At 45.0% G+C, this 17,517-nt stretch overlaps 1 protein-coding gene and 1 long non-coding RNA gene across 4 annotated transcripts in view, besides 1 other annotated feature; one reads left to right on the forward strand and one right to left on the reverse strand.

Moving 5' to 3' along the window:
- The window catches only part of RNF130 (ring finger protein 130), a 160,109-nt gene that overhangs the window by 55,016 nt on the left and 87,576 nt on the right, over nt 1–17,517 (reverse strand). For all 3 annotated transcript variants that reach the window (NM_001410829.1, NM_001280801.2, NM_018434.6), the window contains exons 4-7: nt 13,463–13,534; nt 11,537–11,619; nt 3,744–3,840; nt 140–344 (exon numbers count right to left, since the gene is read on the reverse strand). In NM_001410829.1, the coding sequence (NP_001397758.1) occupies nt 140–344; nt 3,744–3,840; nt 11,537–11,619; nt 13,463–13,534 (457 nt within the window). The remainder of the gene's footprint in view (nt 1–139; nt 345–3,743; nt 3,841–11,536; nt 11,620–13,462; nt 13,535–17,517) is intronic.
- On the forward strand, nt 7,863–13,572 carry LOC124901150 (uncharacterized). Its single transcript, XR_007059084.1, has 2 exons — nt 7,863–8,487; nt 11,893–13,572. It is a non-coding gene; the product is annotated as an uncharacterized LOC124901150 (long non-coding RNA).
- Nucleotides 8,546–8,605: an enhancer, noted in NCBI's record as "active region_23767". NCBI's record gives its function as "activates an Ori minimal core promoter by ATAC-STARR-seq in GM12878 lymphoblastoid cells {active_cell/tissue: GM12878}" and the evidence as "EXISTENCE:reporter gene assay evidence [ECO:0000049][PMID:35858748]".

Raw genomic sequence — 17,517 nt, forward strand, 5'->3', positions numbered from 1 at the left:
GTTTTAACAGCAACACACATCACTTTCTTGGTTACAGTCTGTGTTGCAGGCTGAGGCGAGTGCCTTGACTCTCCTGATGGTCCCGAATGCCCACATAGGCAGCCACATGCCCTGTGCCTGAGCGGAGGCCCCCACTTACTTGTTACTGCAATGTTGATTTCTCCTGTTCTCGGAGTGAGCTCCCCATCCTGAGGAAGAGGTGAGATCCCCGAAGTTCGAAGTGGCTCAAGGCCAAGGGAGTTGTCGCCGGCGAGGTCGCCGAGGGCTGATCTTCGGTTAACAGCTTGGGTTCTGGTGAGCCTTTCCATATCGAATGCTACGTTATCAGTACATGGCAAATTCGGCTGCAAAATATTTCCAGGTTAAAAATAATTGTAAGGAAAACACAACCTTTCATAAGATTCTAAAAAAGATTCTAAACTTTGACGCCCTGTTGCAAAGACCTTACCAGGTTCTTTTCCTGTGATGTCCTCTCATTTATCTGCCCACCTACCTACTCCTTCTTCTCTCACCCTAAGAGTTTTTCTTCAAAAGGCACAGAGATCTCCTCTCAGAAATGTTACAAAGGAAAACTAAAATTCATTGCAGATCAGAGAAGACTGGTCATGGCCCACAGGCACAGGGAGTCGTAATCATTAACATAAAGATAGCAAACATCCAGTTTAAAAGAGTAAACTATTACTTTGCTTCATGGTAAATGTCCATGTTGAAGAATCCCAGGTAATAGAAAACACCTCTTTCATCCTACTAACTTCTCTAAAAGCCCCATTTATCTGGTAGTCAGTTTTTAAGTATGGTCTGCCTTTAAACACAAGAAAAGCATAAAACCAAGAATAGGTCAAAGTTGAAAAGACTTTTGAACTATAAGAAAATGATCTGTTTCAAAACCTAAGCACCTAATCCTGAGGGAGAGGTATAGAGCTGCTTGGGGCCAAAGTCTACCAATTAAAAAGTGAGCACCAAAAGTCTTCCGTTGTAACAATGTGGCTATTTGTTTACCTAACAACCTTTGGTTCTCTCAGCAGGCAGCAGCAGGCAGCACATGAGAAGCACAGCTGGGAGGGGTGGTTGTGAGAAGTTTGTATGTTTATAGAGAGAAGTTTCAGCCAACCAAACCTGGAACTAATGGCTTCCTGGGCAAAAGAACTGTTTCAGGTCATCTCAAAGCCTTATTTAAAACAGCAAAAGGCAGTGTACTAAGTGATGCTTAGGCTCACACCCAGTTAAAAGAGGTTTTTTTATGTTCATTACATTTAAGGATCCAATGATAACCTGCAATACATTTTAGGAGGATTTTTGTTATAAACAGAGGAGAAAAGTATTAGCACTTAATATACTTAACAAACAGGCTGGGCGCGGTGGCTCACGCCTGTAATCCCAGCACTTTGGGAGGCCGAGGCGGGCAGATCACGAGGTCAGGAGATCGAGACCATCCTGGCTAACACGGTGAAACCCCGTCTCTACTAACAATACAAAACATTAGCCGGGCATGGTGGCGGGTGCCTGTACTCCCAGCTACTCGGGAGGCTGAGGCAAGAGAATGGCATGAACCCAGGAGGCGGAGCTTGCGGTGAGCCGAGATCGCACCACTGCACTCCAGCCTGGGCGACAGAGCAAGACTGTCTCAAAACAAACAAACAAACAAACAAAAAAAGAAGGCGGCGGCTAGCGGTAACAACAGAGGGTAAGTTACTGTTTTTCAAGTTTCTACACTGTTGGCCAGGCACGGTGGCTCACGCCTGTAATCCCGGCACTGTGGGAGGCCGAGAAGGGCAGATCACTTGAGGTCAGGAGTTTGAGACCAGCCTGGCCAACATGGGGAAACCCCATCTCTACTAAAAACACAAAAATTAGCCAGGTGTGGTGGCAGGTGCCTGTAATCCCAGCTACAAGGGAGGCTGAGGCATGAGAACTGCTTGAACCTGGGAGGTGGAGGTTGCAGTGAGCTGAGATCACACCACTGCACTCCAGCCTGGGTGACAAAGGGAGACTCTGTCTCATAAAAAAAAAAAAAAAAAAAAAGAGAGAAAGTTTCTACACTGTGCTAGGCATCATGGCAGATGCTCTATGTTAGACCAGTCTGAAATGGGGGTGAGTTTGCTCCCTGGGGGACATCTGGCAACGTCTGGAGACATTTCTGACTGTCGTGGCTGTGGTGCCATGCTACTAGCATTTAGATGCTGCTGAACGGTCTACGATGCACAGGACAGCCCCCACAAGAAGGGATTGTCCAGTCCATGGTGTCACTAATGCCCGATACTTTGAGAAATCCCATCACTACTGACATGATCTCTGGAGACAAAGGACAAATGGGGCATTACTGCCCAACTGTATACACTGAAACTGTGTTTGACAGTATATTTAAAATAAGATGACTTCGATCTCCTTTGGGTTGCAAGCTAAAATGAGTTCATCTGTTGGATCAAACTAAACTTTTTGTTCCATAAGGAGATCATTCTTTCATTCTTTTTTGAGACCAGAAACTATGTTATTTTCCAATAAAAAGCATAACCCTGGCTATACATGCTTCTCTTAAGCAAGGGCTAACGAAGGTCCTTGGTTACTCAAGTCAGTGTTGACCTGGCACCTGCCACAGCTGGACTCTGGCACGCCTGGCGACAGCCCCTGCCAGGCTGTGGTTGTCAACAGTTCTCCTTGGGCTCCAGTCACTGCCTGCCTTCTCTGCTTGCAACTTACCAACCCTCAAGAGATCAAAGTCAAACTTCAGGCTAAAGAACATAAGCAATGACATCGTTTTATATTATGCCAAGCACAGAGGAGTTTATGACTGGAACAGAGTCAACAGCATACAGCCTACCTTCTAAAGGTAGGTACTGGAATGAAGAAAAATCATGTCCTTCTCTCTTTCTTCATCCCATACTCATCGACCAACAGAAGCACCCTTTTAAAAGTGGACCATGCCAGGTGTGGTGACTCACGCCTATAATCCCAGCACTTTGGGAGGCTGAGGCAGGAGGATCACTTGAGGCCAGGAGTTGAGACCCGCCTGAACATCTTGTCTCTTCAAAACATAAAAAAGTGGCCAGGCACGGTGGCTCACGCCTGTAACCCCAGCACTTTGGGAGGCAGAGGCGGGTGGATCACCTGAGGTCAGGAGTTGGAGACCAGCCTGGACAACATGGTGAAACCCTGTCTCTACTAAAAATACAAAAAATTAGCCAGGGGTGGTGACGGGCACCTGCAATCCCAGCTACTCAGAAGGCTGAGGCAGGAGAATCGCTTGAACCTGGGAGGCGGAGGTTGCAGTGAGCCAAGATCGTGCCATTGTACTCCAGCTTGGGCAACAAGAGCAAAACTCCCTCTCAAAAAAACAAAAAAGTTAGCCAGGCATGGCGGTGTATGCCTGTAGTCCCAGCTACTCAGAAGGCGAGGTGGGAGGACTGCTTGAACCCAGGAGTTCGAGGTTACAGTAAGCTATGATTGCACCACTACACTCCAGCTTGGGCCACAGAGTGAATCCTTGTCTCTTAAATTTAAAAAAAGAAAAAAAAAGGCCTAGTAGAGTTATTTACCTTCTCTTCCAGGAGTTCTCTGAGATGGATTAGACTTCTTAGTAATCTGGTAAAAAGGTCCTGTTGGGCTTACATGGTTACATGGCAAATATAGCCAGTGTTTTCTTCTGTGTCTTAGTCATGCCTCCTATTATGCCAATTATGTTATATTGTATTACACATACATATAATAATATACAAAAGTGGTAACAAATAAAATAGGAAACGTACCACAATTCCCAGGGCCTTCAATATATTAAGTTTGCACATAGGACAGGTACAATGTTCACTAAGCCAGGGATCCACGCAGGATTTGTGGAAAACATGCCTATAAAATAATGGAGAATTATGTCACAAGTTACATACCAAGAAACTTATTAGGCCAAAATGGAAAGAAAGGGAATTTTTAGTTAAGTTTTCTTTTCCCCCTTTCAGGACATATTTTAAGCCCCAAGAGACAAATATTGGGAATTTATTAAAATATAACTTGCAGAAAATCTCCTGAGCCCAACCTCATATGTACAACACCGTGTAAGAACTGCTAAGTAGGATTTGGTTGTTTGGGCCTTTTATTTTACCAAATTCCAAAAAGGACTAATGGAAACTTAGAAAATTTATTAAGAATGAAAATAATCACACCTTATAAACCAGTTATGCTTTCTACAATAGCTAACATAGAAAAATGGAGTTTCAAAAAGATACTAAATCATGGCTAAGTGAAGAGTTCTCTGTATAGTGATTAGTTTTTTGGCACCCTGATTGAATGTCATTTAAAACATCATTTTTAAAAACTTCTAAGCAACTTATGTTGAATGTTTATAAAAGCTACAGGGAAGCTGAAACTATTTTAAGGGGTAAACTGTGCCTAGATTCAAGTAACACTCAGCAATTTTCAGCTGAAATGTTAACGGGGGAGGATGGGAGATTTTCTCTCTTATTCAGGCAAGTAGAAAGTCACAGTCTTGTGACTGGAAATAAGTCAGTCATACAGGGTTTTGCATTCTTAAAAAAAGGAACTTGTGCCCTCCGGAAGAGCTGCAGAAATTACTTCTCAAGCTCTAGCACCCGGCCCAGCAGCCTTCTGAAGCTCTAGAGTCCTGGCCAAACAGGGAGAAGGTGGGTGCCAGGACAGACGTTCAGGGCAGCTTTGGAAGAAACACTAATCTGAGTTTGGGATAAGATAAAAGAAATTTTTGTTTGTTTGTTTTTGAGACGGAGTCTTGCTCTGTCGCCCAGGCTGAAGTGCAGTCGTGCAATCTCTGCTCACTGCAAGCTCCGCCTCCCGGGTTCACACCATTCTCCTGCCTTAGCCTCACAAGCAGCTGGGACTACAGCAGCCCGCCACCACGCCCAGCCAATTTTTTGTATTTTTAGTAGAGACGGGGTTTCACCATGTTAGCCAGGATGGTTTCCATCTCCTGACCTCGTGATCCGCCCGCCTCGGCCTCCCAAAGTGCTGGGATGACAGGCGTGAGCCACCACACCCGGCCAAGATAAAAGAAATTTTTAAGTAAGATGCCAAATTGAATCATGGTATATACCTTTACAACTTTGATTGTCAATTTCTAAGTTAATGTTATTTACAGCTGTTTAAAAATGCAGTTTTGATTTATAAAAAGAGGTCTAGAGAACTCAGTTTCTACTGGGATCTGGAACAAACATTCATGCTTACAACTTTGGCCTGAACAATATACACACACGTCTGCCTATCACTGTTTGATGGCCTTATACTCACTTCTTTGGGGACAAGAGTAAAGATCTTGAAGAATGAATTTATCAATCTAGTCTTAAATTCACAGACAATGAAATAACCAGAACCATCACCCCTGAAGGCATTTATTTAAACCTTAAAGCTTTTACTTAAGGGCTGGAAACCCACCAATCCATAGGTAAGCCCCAGATACATTCAGTACACCTAAGGCGTTATGTCTTGTTACTCGTAGCCTCTGTGTGTGGAGTGGTTCCTTACTCCAGGGTGTCCCCAGGGCCAGCTGGACTTTCCAGCAGGGGTCAAGTGCACTAATGCTGGCTACTGACCAACAAAGACCACAACAGGCTTAACCCTTTTGGGGCATACAAACTCCCTTAGATCTGATAGAAGTTACAGAACCTCCCTCTGAAAAGTCACGGGGACGCAAATGCCTAGTACCTTGCATACATTTTCAGGAGGAGTACGGACCTATGCACTGGGTTAGCGCTAGGGTGGGGTGGCCGGGAAGGTGCTGCAGGTCAGGCCTACACAGGGTGGACGATGGGACTTGGCTGACTGACAGGTAATGGAAGACATATGATGCTGTGACCTCTGATCAAGGCTCTGGTGCAGGAATGGGAGGCATCCCGCTGGGGGTCGGGGGAGGCCTAGGTGCCTTGACTTCTGATCAGGGCTCTGGTGCAGGAGTGAGAGGTATCCAGATGAGGGTGGGGGGTGGCTGGGCTTGCTGAACTGTTGGTGGGGACCTGGTAAAGCCGCAGCACCACCTGGGGGGATGGAGGTGCGGCTCTGGTGCTCCCTACTGGGGCCAGATTTTGCTTTGCCCTTTTCTTATTGTTCCGTCTTTCTTTTCTCTTACTATCCAGAAAGAACCAAATGGTATAATCCTCATATTTCATTTTTAAAGCTGCATGAGTACAGTGTTCTCTGCCTGTTTCTTTAACCTGAAATTAGTTATAAATATGTTTGGGTTCTTGAGTAACTGTTTCCTTCTAGGATTATTGATATAAAAGAAGTGCCCACCCCTCTGTTTTACTAAACAATTAAAAATTTCTCCTCTAGGCTGTGGGGTACTATGAAGAAAAACAAAAAAGACCAACTGGTTCTCTGGTGACAAATTTAGAAAACCTCCCTTCCTCAGCTAAATGAAAATCTGAAATATTTTTGGTCTTTAAAAAAAAGTTCCTTTGGGCTCTCCATCCACCCCATCCCTCTCTTACTCCTGACCCTACCTCTGAGCACTGAACACCCTTCCCTCCTGTCTTTCCAAATTCCCCGCTAGTCCAGCTTCTGTGCAACTCACCCAGAGATCTTCAGTCTCAAATTCCCATGGCACATCCCTCGCTTCCACAAAGCTGGGTGGCTGTTCTCTTCACCCATGGCCCTCCTCTCCTGTCTCTTCTGTGATCTCCACAGGCAGCTGCCCTGAACACGGCACCTTTTTCTCCTCATCACCCATTGTCTAACCCTCCTGCTAGTCTCTTCAGTGCAACTTTCACTGAACTCACTGTGGCCTTTTCTTCCCTTCTAGGCAAAGTTCTGCTACAACAGTCTGGTGCTCGGCAAACCACCTTTCTGCTGTGCAGAGGTCTCAGCTAAGGACTGGGCCAGGGGCGTTTAATCTACCTTGGGAAGTGTCTGGAGCAGTCAATGCAACACAGCATGTGGGCCAAGGCTGAGCACCTGCAGGGCCATCACACGGGCAGAGCGGCCCCGCCACCTGGCCATTCCCGCACGCCTGACCGCGCTCACCCTCACTATGGCTCTGGGCTCTCATTATGGAAGGTGCTCCATGGACACCCAGGAGGCCTCAGAAAGAGGCACCTGGGGCAAGTAGGGCCTTGAAAAGAAGTTCCCCACTCACGTGATAAAAACACACATAAATAAAAAACAGGCCCGCCACACACAGGGTGGGTGGTGCATCGGGACGGAAAGCAGGTAACGTGGACAGTGAAACCTGAAAAGCACAAGCATACTGAGCGCCAACAAAGTCCTTTATTCCTATGAGAAATACTTGGGGATACAGAACGAGAAACAAATAGAACATGAAAGGAACAAACCCAGCAATCATGAAATTCAGCGCCCTCCCCTTTCCTATGTCCCACACATGCCATGAACTAGAGTGAGCAGAAGAGTGCTGCGGGAGGGGAGGCCTCTATATTGAAGGTGAGTTGCTCTCACAGCTCTGCAGCCTCTTGGTGCCATGTAAGAACCTGGCAAATATAAAAGGATGCAGGATTATTAAAGGTCCCAGACAAGAACTCTCTTCTGCTAGCTGGGGCTGGCAGCAGTCTCTGTCTCTATGGACCCTCGGCTGCAGTGGAGCCTCAGACATCTGCAGCGGCCGGCCCCCCGCTTTAGCTCCTGAAGTGGCATGGAAACATACGTTCATCCACGCGGCAACTCCACTTCTGAAAACGTACTTCTAACGACTACACACTCCGATGGCCGACCTTTAAGAGGTCTAATAAGACCAGGTGACAGTTCCTCGGTTTCTAAGACCTGCTGGCTAACATCCAAAGGAGAATCAGCCGTGATCACTGAGCCGAGGAGGAGGCCCCTCCGCCATGCCAACTGCCATCTGTCCACAGTAAATAGTGCGACAGAAGAGGAAAAGGAAACGTCACGTGGCAAGAAGCAGGCAATCCATGAGCGGCTTGACAGCTCTGGATAGAAAGTCCTAGCTGAGCTTGTGAATCGTTAAGGAAAGATGGACACGAGGGTGTCCAGGCCCATCTCCCTCCCTCACGGAGGGAAGAGGCAGTGGGCAGGTGTGACAGCAGACGCTGTGGGGCAGTACTTGGAGGGCGATGGCTTTGAAAGAGAGTTTTAAAAACTGGACTGGGAAATGCGAGTGTCACGAGATGCCGGCGAGTGGAGACAGAACACTGGAAGGAGCAGCCAGCCAAGAGAACGAGGCCCCGAGGAAGGGAGAGAGCAGGCACGCAGCGGCGCGGGGAGGAGCGGCATGGACCGCAGCAGACGGCCTCTCCGGCCTGCGCACCCGGGTCAGCACGCTGAGGGAATTAAACCCATTGCTTCCTCTGGGCAGTCAATGGTGAAGCGGTCCTCTGAGAGTGAAGAACAAGCGTGTGAGTTAAGGTGTTGAAGTAGAGTGAACACACCTGCAGGTGCTGCTGTGCCGAATGCGGAGCGCCAGCCAGGCGGGGAGGCTCTGTCTTGCCAAGTCTGTTCAGAGTCCCGTGGGAAGACGGTGAGGGAACAGAACCGCTTAGCAACATGAGGTACAGAAAGCCACAGCAGGTAACACCGACTCTGGGCTTCAAAGACAATAGGGGCGGGGAGGCGTCCCAAGGCAGAAGGAATTCTGTAAGCGGCAGTTTGGTGAGCGCGAAGGCGCAGCTGCGAGTGGCATCTGCTGGGGTGAGGCTTGAAGAGCCGCGCACAGCCATCCTCAGCTCAGCGGTTCTCATCTGGAGGCAGTTTTGGTTGTCACAACTGTGTGTGGGTGGGCGCTACTGACACCTAGTGGGTAGAGGGCCAAGGACACTGCCAGGCCCACACCCCCACACAATGACCTGGTCCCAAATGTCAACAGTGCCAAGGCTGAGAAATGCTGCTCTAGCTTAAAGACTGTCACAAGTACCGCTTGATGTGTAAAGTTAATTTTTGCTACACCTGATAACTGCACTGTCGCTACATGGCAGTGAGATGGTGTGCTGTGCTGAGCAGGCTGTGTGGTGCAGTCTCAGGGAAAGTTACAGCTTGGTGATGCGTGGAGTGTAAGAGGAACAAACAGCCGCTCAGTTCCACAGCAACAGGGAAAACTCTACACTCAGCCAGGGCAGTAAGCACAGCTAGTAACACAGTGACCCAGTACTGAAAGACAACCAAGTAACAGTACCATAGAGGGTGCAGCGAAATTCCGTGAACCGTGCCAAAAATTCTAACATTCACAAGCAGACCACAAACACAAACCACTTCTATGGTGGCAGGTGCAGCGCAGAAATGGTTCAGATCAACCATGGCCTGGACCTTGGTGGCAGGCGTGGCTTTGCAGCACGAGAATCGGGCGGGAACTTATAATTAAAGCGCATATGCCCGGCCTCCACCCGGGATGCTTCTGAAAGCCTCCCACTGACTCTGATGCAGTCAGGTCTGGAAAGCAATGAACTAAATTTTAAAAAGAGGGCCAGACGTCAGGCTCATGCCTGTGATCCCAGCACTTCAGGATGCTAGGGTGGGAGGATACTTGAGGCCAGGAGTTCAGAGCGGCCTGGGCAACATAGTGAGACCCCAACTCTACAAAAAATAAAAATTATACAAAAGGAAAAAGATAACTCCGAATGAAACTGGAAAAGTCAACACTGAAGGGATGAAGATAATGGGATTAAGTTCCCAGAATAAACTACTTTAGGCCGAGCCTCCCCTGAGGGAAGATCCCCTCATTCTAGTAATATACCCATGAATGGTTTTGGAGGCCCGTAGTTTTAGGTGCCATATGGTTCTGGAGGATCCTGGGCTGAAACAGCAAGACAGAATTTGGAGAGCCTTGGCTTCTCCTGGTCATTCCAGTGTTGAAGCAGGCAAGTGTGGATGACGCCTCCCTGTGTCCCGCTGGCCCTTCTCCTGATTTGCACTGGCGTGTGCATTTCCTTTAGCCTCACGTTTAGACCGTCAATGACTGCATGTGAAGGAAGACTGGCTGTTCCACAGTTTAATTTTCTAGAGGACAGCTTACATTTAGTTTTATAGATTTTCCTTTATATGTAAACTAGAATGACTGGACTTCCAGAATCTTGGATTTCTGTTTCAGTACATGTAATTCTTCTTCAGTTTGATTTTTTTTTTTTTTTTAAAAACAGATCTTCCTAGACTCAAAATAGATTACTTTGTAAGTAAAATAAGACCAGTAGCCTCATGGAGATAACAACTCACAATTATTTTATTAATTCACATGCTCCATATTATAAGGCTGGAGTTGTGTGGATGTCTTTTAAAGGGAAGGGAGGAGGAAGAGGCAAACTCTTTGGTTTTAGGCTTCTTGGCAGGTGATTTCCTATTTATCCAATTGATACTCAGAACTGTGTATCTTAGTTTCATGCTCCCCAGCTTGAGAGGAGCCACAGGAGAAACCAACATGCTGTTTCCAGGGCAACCAGGCACAGGCGAGTCCTTTCCTCATGGAGGAAGGCTTGGTCCCATGTGGGGAGCACCACATTAAAGGCAGGCCTTGACACAGCTCTGCCATTTCTGAATTGTGCGACCCTGGAACCTGCTATCGGCTCACCATCCTTCACTGTACAACGGGGAAAACACACCCTCTTAGGACTGCTGGGAGAATTATAGGAGACAGTGAGTATAGTCTGCTCAGAGCAGAGCATCTGAACCACAGCAGGCACAAAGCAGGTATCAGTTCTTTCCATTTTGCATAATCCAGGTTTAGAAAAAGATTTAATCCAAGTCCCTGGAGTTGTTGTACCCAGAGCCAGGTGAGCTCGATGGAAGTCTCACTGAAGGGCTTGGAGATGTAGTCTAAGATGGAGAGGAACAAGGGGCTGTTTTTGAAACCCACAGGAATCACAAAACAATGCCAAGCACAGTGACTCATGCCTGTAATCCCAACACTTTGAGAGGACAAGGCAGGAGGACTGCTTGAGCCCAGGAGTTCATGTTCAGCTGTGCGCAACATAGTGAGAACCCCATCTTTAAAGAAAACAGGCCGGGTGCGGTGGCTCACGCCTGTAATCCCAGGACTTTGGGAGGCTGAGGCAGGCAGATCACCTGAGGTCAGGAGTTCAAGACCAACTGGCCAACATGATGAAACCCCGTCTCTACTAAAAATACAAAAATTATCTGGGCATGGTGGTGGGTACCTGTAGTCCCAGCTACTCGGGAGGCTGAGGCAGGAGAATGGCATGAACCCAGGAGGCGGAGCTTGCAGTGAGCCGAGATTGCGCCACTGCACACTCCAGCCTGGGGTGACAGAGCGAGACTCCGTCTCAAAAAATAAATAAATAAATAAATAAAAGAAAACAAACATAAAAAGATAAACGAAACCATAGAACAAGAATTCTCGACCTCAACACTCCTAGGCTGTGTCTGGGGAGTCTGGAGGCCGCGTGCCACATCGCATATTGGCTACACCTCGGAAGGCCGTGCAGCCCGCACCTGCTGAACAGCACCACTCCCTGCTGGCCTCAGCCCCATGGCCAGCAATGCACAGCGGACTTGGCCTCCAGAAAGCCACGAGGTGGGTGGCGCTCAAAAGCAAGGGAGATGCCCACCCTGAAAAGGAGGCATACAAAGCACATTAATATCATTCTTTCTCAAACAAATGAAGTTGACATACTTGCAGGGGAGAATTCGGACGACATCATTCTGCTTATAGCTCTCTATGCAGACTGCACAATGATCAAAGTCTGGGTCAGTTTCCTAAAATGAAAAGTACAGAAACAAAAAGTCACACGCTGCAAGTATATAAATGGTTGGGATGCAATTCAGCTCAGAATCTTTCTGTGGCTACTATGGTAAGCAAGTGTTATAAACTGAAAAATGATTAAAATTATTTTGTTTTTATTTGCCTAACTATATTGGCCCAAATTATGTCTAAGTCAATCTATTTTGTTTTAAAAATTATAACAATCTATATTAATTTTGTTATGATATGTCTTACAAAAATTAAGTCGGAATTCTAATTTTTTCCAGGTTAGAATCAGCTTGGACCATCATGATCTCCCCATCCCTCATTCCCCCTGCATTACTTATTGGTCTGAAGAGGTTTCACTGCTATGTTTGACACAGCCTGGAAGCTCACCAGGATGTTCACTTAAACACACACCTAAGTACAGACAGGAAAGATGGTGAGTTGAGTCCCAGCAGACTGCTGTCTAGAAACCCACCCCAAGAATGGGAGCTGTGAATCTGGTCACAGATTTGGGATGGAGAAGGGTCATTGGCTCAATTCAATACTCGGTCTTCATTAAGAGTGAGAAAGAGTCAGCCAGGTATTCAGACACCAGATTAATTGATTTCCTTCCTCCTAGGACTGAGAAGGGGTTTTGCAAAAGTTGTCATAAAACAAAACATGCCAGGAACCTAAGCCAAGAAAACAGACTATTTGCTGTGTCACTGTCACTTGGACTGAAACTCAGTGGACAACTCTTGCCAGGTCTAGGAGGTACAAACTAAGATGAATTGGCTTTAATAATTAAAGGAAATAACTGTGCTGGCCCGGGATACAAAGTCAGATGGGTAGGTTAAATCCGCTCCAGGGAATTTCATACTATTGTGGCAGCTGAGGCTACCAGGCCAAGAAGGCATCTACACTGTCACCGTGGTCACCACTCCTCTGCCATTGAAATGCAAGCCGTTTTGATGCTGCTTCTATTTTCTTAAGTGATTTCCCCCTTTTCTGTTTCTTTGGTGTACAATAAAGTTCACTAAGAATGTCTCCACCCTCTGAAGCTGTTTCAAAGGCAACTAGATACGGTGGTATCAAGGCAATGGGAATAAAATGGGTAAAGTCCAAGAAATTGGTAAAACTTAGGAAGACAGAGAATCATATGAAATTATCCTTCCAGGCACAAGTCTGTGCTTAAATATTAGAATTGGGTGTGGGGCAGGAGACAGTTTTCGTTTTATGCCTTTTGAGATGCCATTTTCCCATTCTAGATAACCTTGAATACTCTGAATGTAGGGGCAGCACTAAGATGCAACTGTGTCCTTCTAGCGGAGAAGCAGGGCTCTACCATAACTAGAGCTCTGAGGCGGGATGTCAGTTAGAGGTCTCCGCCACAGCATCCTGACACTGCCTCTCTCCCTTGGTCCTCCAAGCCACCAGGGATGACCCTGACACACTTTGCTCTTCTTTCAAACTGCTCAACCCATTGTAAAGAGAGCACCTTTTTAGGTGAAACTCCCTAGAAATGCAGGTCTTCAACTCTCCATGTATCTAGTGAAAAAATAAAACAACAAAAGAGACATAGCAAAGTCCCAGGAAGTATAGGAAGAAAACACATCTCCTGGCTTTTTAACGCACAAATGGTCCCACCAGAATTCTCTGAAAATGCATGCTAGGTTTTAGCAGAAGAAACCTCTGTAGGAAAACACAGCTAGAGTTACTGTAAGAAGGTAGTTTAAAATAAAGCATTAGGTAGTGTAGTTGGAGAAAATCTAACGAATGAAATGTAAACAATTAGGGTGTGTCCTCTCCCACCAAACAAAAACAAAACTGCTGGATTACTTTTACGGTGCTGAAGTTGTTTCATGACTGTACCTTGTCACCCTTCTTTACTGTCCTGGTTGTCAATTTACTGATGGCTTTCTTGGCTGCATCTCCGAGACGACGCTATGAAAATTGCAAATAAAAACAGATACTAAGTGTAAGATCTCTGAATGACGTACTTTATTTTTAAGCAATTAAAAGTATAAAGTCTCTATTTTACTACATCCCTCTCCATGTCCTACATATAAGAGAATGATAAAATAGAAAAAATGGTGGCTGTATCAAGATTCAGCATTCTGGTTGAAAAGTAAAAAGTGTTAGAACACCCTGTTAGGTCAAACAGAAATATAGAACTATAGGTCTTCAATTCTCCAGCAGTAAAAAAGTTAGGTGTCATAATTGCTGCATTTTGTGTCGAATAAACATTTGAAACATCACAGCACTATCAAACCTACTTCTTGCACACTCCAGAGCCACTCCTGCTGCTCCAATGGCTTTTGGATTCTGCTCAACGAATGATCACCATTAGGTGTGTAAATGCCGTCTTATTAAGGGAAACCTTGACCGCTCCTTGAAATTGCTTATCGCATCATCAAGTGTGAAGAGAAGGAATGCGTCACAGCTCCACTTCTGGCTCGCTATACTATCATCCTCTGGGATCCTGGGAAGGTGTACTTACCTTCCAGGGTTGAGCTGTTTTCATTATCTGTAAGGGTGAGGGCAGAGAAACTCCAAGGCTGGATTTATGCAACATTCTCCCAGACACTGCTAGCACTGCTTGGCACCAACAACCCACAGATGAAGAGATGGTGATCCCTACCCTGGAAAAGCTCACTGAACTGGGACAGCTGCGTTAATGGTGTATACTCAAGCATGCCCAGGGCCAGGTGGCAGCACAGAGGAGGCGACTAGGAGGGGTGGGGCGAGGCAGGGGAGGAACGTCAGGGAAGGTCTTGAGGAGTCGAGGCCTGGACTAAGACTGGGAAGGGGTTAGATGGGAAAGGCGTAGGGTTAGGAGGGGGTTCCGGGTGTAGGGGTAGGAGTGGGTTCCAGGCAAAGTAATAATCTAGTAAAGATAAATAGGTGTAAAGAACAGGTATGTGAAGAAAACTAAGGTGAGCATCTGCTTTCCTGTTCAAATTAGAAAGCTTTGTGCATCAGAGGGCCCTAGGAACACTCACACTGGGACAAGGGGCAAAAACCGCGACTGTCCCAGGCACATCAGGGAGACGTCACTCTAGACACATCCAGGCCTTACACTGTGGGAAAAGGCAGATGCCGCTCCTGACGGAGCAAGGCGGGGACCAAAACAACGGACACCTTAAGAATGTTAAAAACCCATAGAAACATGTAAGAAAAAATTTAGGGGAAAGTTTTAAACACACAAAAGAACAGAGAATGATTTAATAAAGCCTTCCCTATGTATCTAACATCCGGCTTCCATTACCAGTACTTTACTTCTATTTTTCATCTGTTTCCCTCTTTACTGTGTTAGATGATTTTGAAGCATATGGCAAGCATCACATAATTTCACCCATAAAATTTTCACTAAGCACCTCTAATAGACACGGGCTTTTGTTAGATGCCACTGTCTTTCCTAACAAAAGTAACAATGATTAATCAACATTATCCAATACTCACACTATACTACAATTTCCCTAGGTGTTTACAGAATGTCTTTAAGCAGCTGGCTTGTTTGAATCAAGATACAAAATCCACACACTGCGTGTGGCTGCTCCGTCTTTGAAGCCTAATCTATGAGTCCCTTCTGTCACGCTGGTTTTAAACCACCTTATGGAGATATAATTGACTTAAAATAGACTGCATATATTTAAAATCTACACCCTGACATATATTTAAAGTTACAGTTTGAAGTTGCATATGAAATCTACGCTGTTTTCATTACCCATGAAAACCTAACTACAATCAAGACAGTGTATCTACCACATCCCCAAACTTCTTTGTGCCCCTTCCTAATTCCCTCCTCCCGCCACCCCATCCCTCCATGATCTACTTTTTGCTGTAACAGTCTGCAACATCATGAGTTTTACATAAATGGAATAGATACAGTATGTACTACTGTGTGTACGGCTTCTTTGACTCAGCATGATTATCTTGAGATTAAGCCACCTTGGTGCATGTTTCAACAGTTAACTCCTTTCTAATGTTATCTAGTATCCCACTGAAGAGATGGCCCACAATATCCTTTCACCTGTTGATGGGACATCTGCACTGTGGTCCAGTTTTTGGCTGTACTGAAAAGCTGACAACAACATTCTCAATTCTTTGCATGGACATATGCTTTCTTTTTTCCTGAGGTAAATACTGCAAGTAGAAAGATGGGCTCACCTGATAGTTGTCTGACTTTTATTTAAGAGACTGCCAAAGTGTTTTCCAAACTGGGCATATTATTTTACATTTGCAACAGCAATACATGAAAATTATAGTTCCTCCACATTCTCACCAACACTTGGTATGGTGAGATTTTGTGTTTTGTTTTGTTTTGTTTTGTTTTTAAGACAAGGTCTTGCTCTGCTTCCCAAACTGGAGTACAGTGGTGCAAACACGGCTCACTGTAGCCTTGACCTCTGGGGCTCACTCAAGTGATTCTCCAGCTTCAGCCTCTGGAATAGCAGGAACTACAGGGGTGCACCACCATGACCAACTGATTTTTTATTTTTATTTTTGTAGAGACGAGGTCTCACTATGTTGCCCAGGCTGGTCCGAAACTTCTTGGCTCAAGCAATCCTCTCACTTTGGCTTCCCAAAATGCTGAGATTACAGGTGTGAGCCACGGCACGCAGCCTCCTTACAGTTTTAATTTGCATTTCCCTATTGTAATGATGTTGACCATCTTTTCATGTACTTATTGGCCATGTGTACATTGTCTGTGGTGAAGTGTCTGTTCATGTGTTTTGCCTATATGTGTACATTGTCTGTGGTGAAGTGTCTGTTCATGTGTTTTGCCTATATTTCTGAGTTGTTTTGTATTATTGACTTTTGAGAGAACATTATATATTCCAGATAAAAATCCTTTTGCATGTATTTCCCCTCACTTTATGGCAGTTTTTAATTTGATGAAGTCGATTAATCATTTTTTCATTGGTAGACTGTGCTCTAGTATCATATTAAGGAAGCTTTGCCTATTTCAAGGTTACAAAGACTTCCCCGTTTTCTCTTCTAGAAATTTTATAGTTTCGTACTTTGTATTTAGGGTTCTGACTCATTTTGTGTATTCTGTCAGGTACAGATGAACTTTTTTTTTTTTTTTTTTTTGCATATGGACATACAATTGTTCTAGAATCATTTGTTGAAAAGGTTGTCCATTCTCCACAGAATTACCTTTCTAAATCTGTCAAAAACCAGTTGTCCATAAATATGTGGGTCTATGTGCGGACACTATTGTACCATGCATCTATTTGTTTACCATTAAGGAAATACAATCCTGTCCTGATTTCTGAGGCTTTGTAATAGATCTGAAATTAGGTGGTGTTAACCATCCCACATTTCCTTTCTATTCTAACATCCTTGTGGTTTTTCTTGATATTTTGCATTCCCATATGAACTTTAGGATCAGTTTGTCCATCTCTATGATAAAAGACATCAGGGATTTACAATGAGATTGTGCTGAATGTATACATCCACTTGGGGAGAACTGGCATCTTAACAACATTAAGTCTTCCACTGAACACTGTGTATGTGTCTCTCCACCTACTTAGTTCTTGATTAATTTCCTCAGCAATAGTTAGTTTTCACTACATAGGGCATATTGCATATTTTGTCAGATTTATTGTTAAGAATTTCCTATTTGTTGATGCTATGGAAAATGGGATTTCTTAAAATTTAACTTTCTTAGAGATAGGGTCTTGTTATGTTGCCCAGGCTGGACTCAAACTCCTGGGTTCAAATAATCTTCCTACCTCAGCCTCACAAGTAGCTGGAACTACAGGTGTGCACCATCTGCTTGATGAAAATGCATTTTTTAAAACCAATTCAATTATTCATTACTCATATATAGAAATAAAATTAATTCTTTCATATTGATCTTGTATCATGGAACCTTGTTAAATCTACTGTTGGTCTTTTTCATAGATTCCAACATATCT

This window comes from Homo sapiens, chromosome 5 (assembly GCF_000001405.40).
Source record: "Homo sapiens chromosome 5, GRCh38.p14 Primary Assembly".
In the NCBI taxonomy this organism is placed as follows: Eukaryota; Metazoa; Chordata; class Mammalia; order Primates; family Hominidae; genus Homo; species Homo sapiens.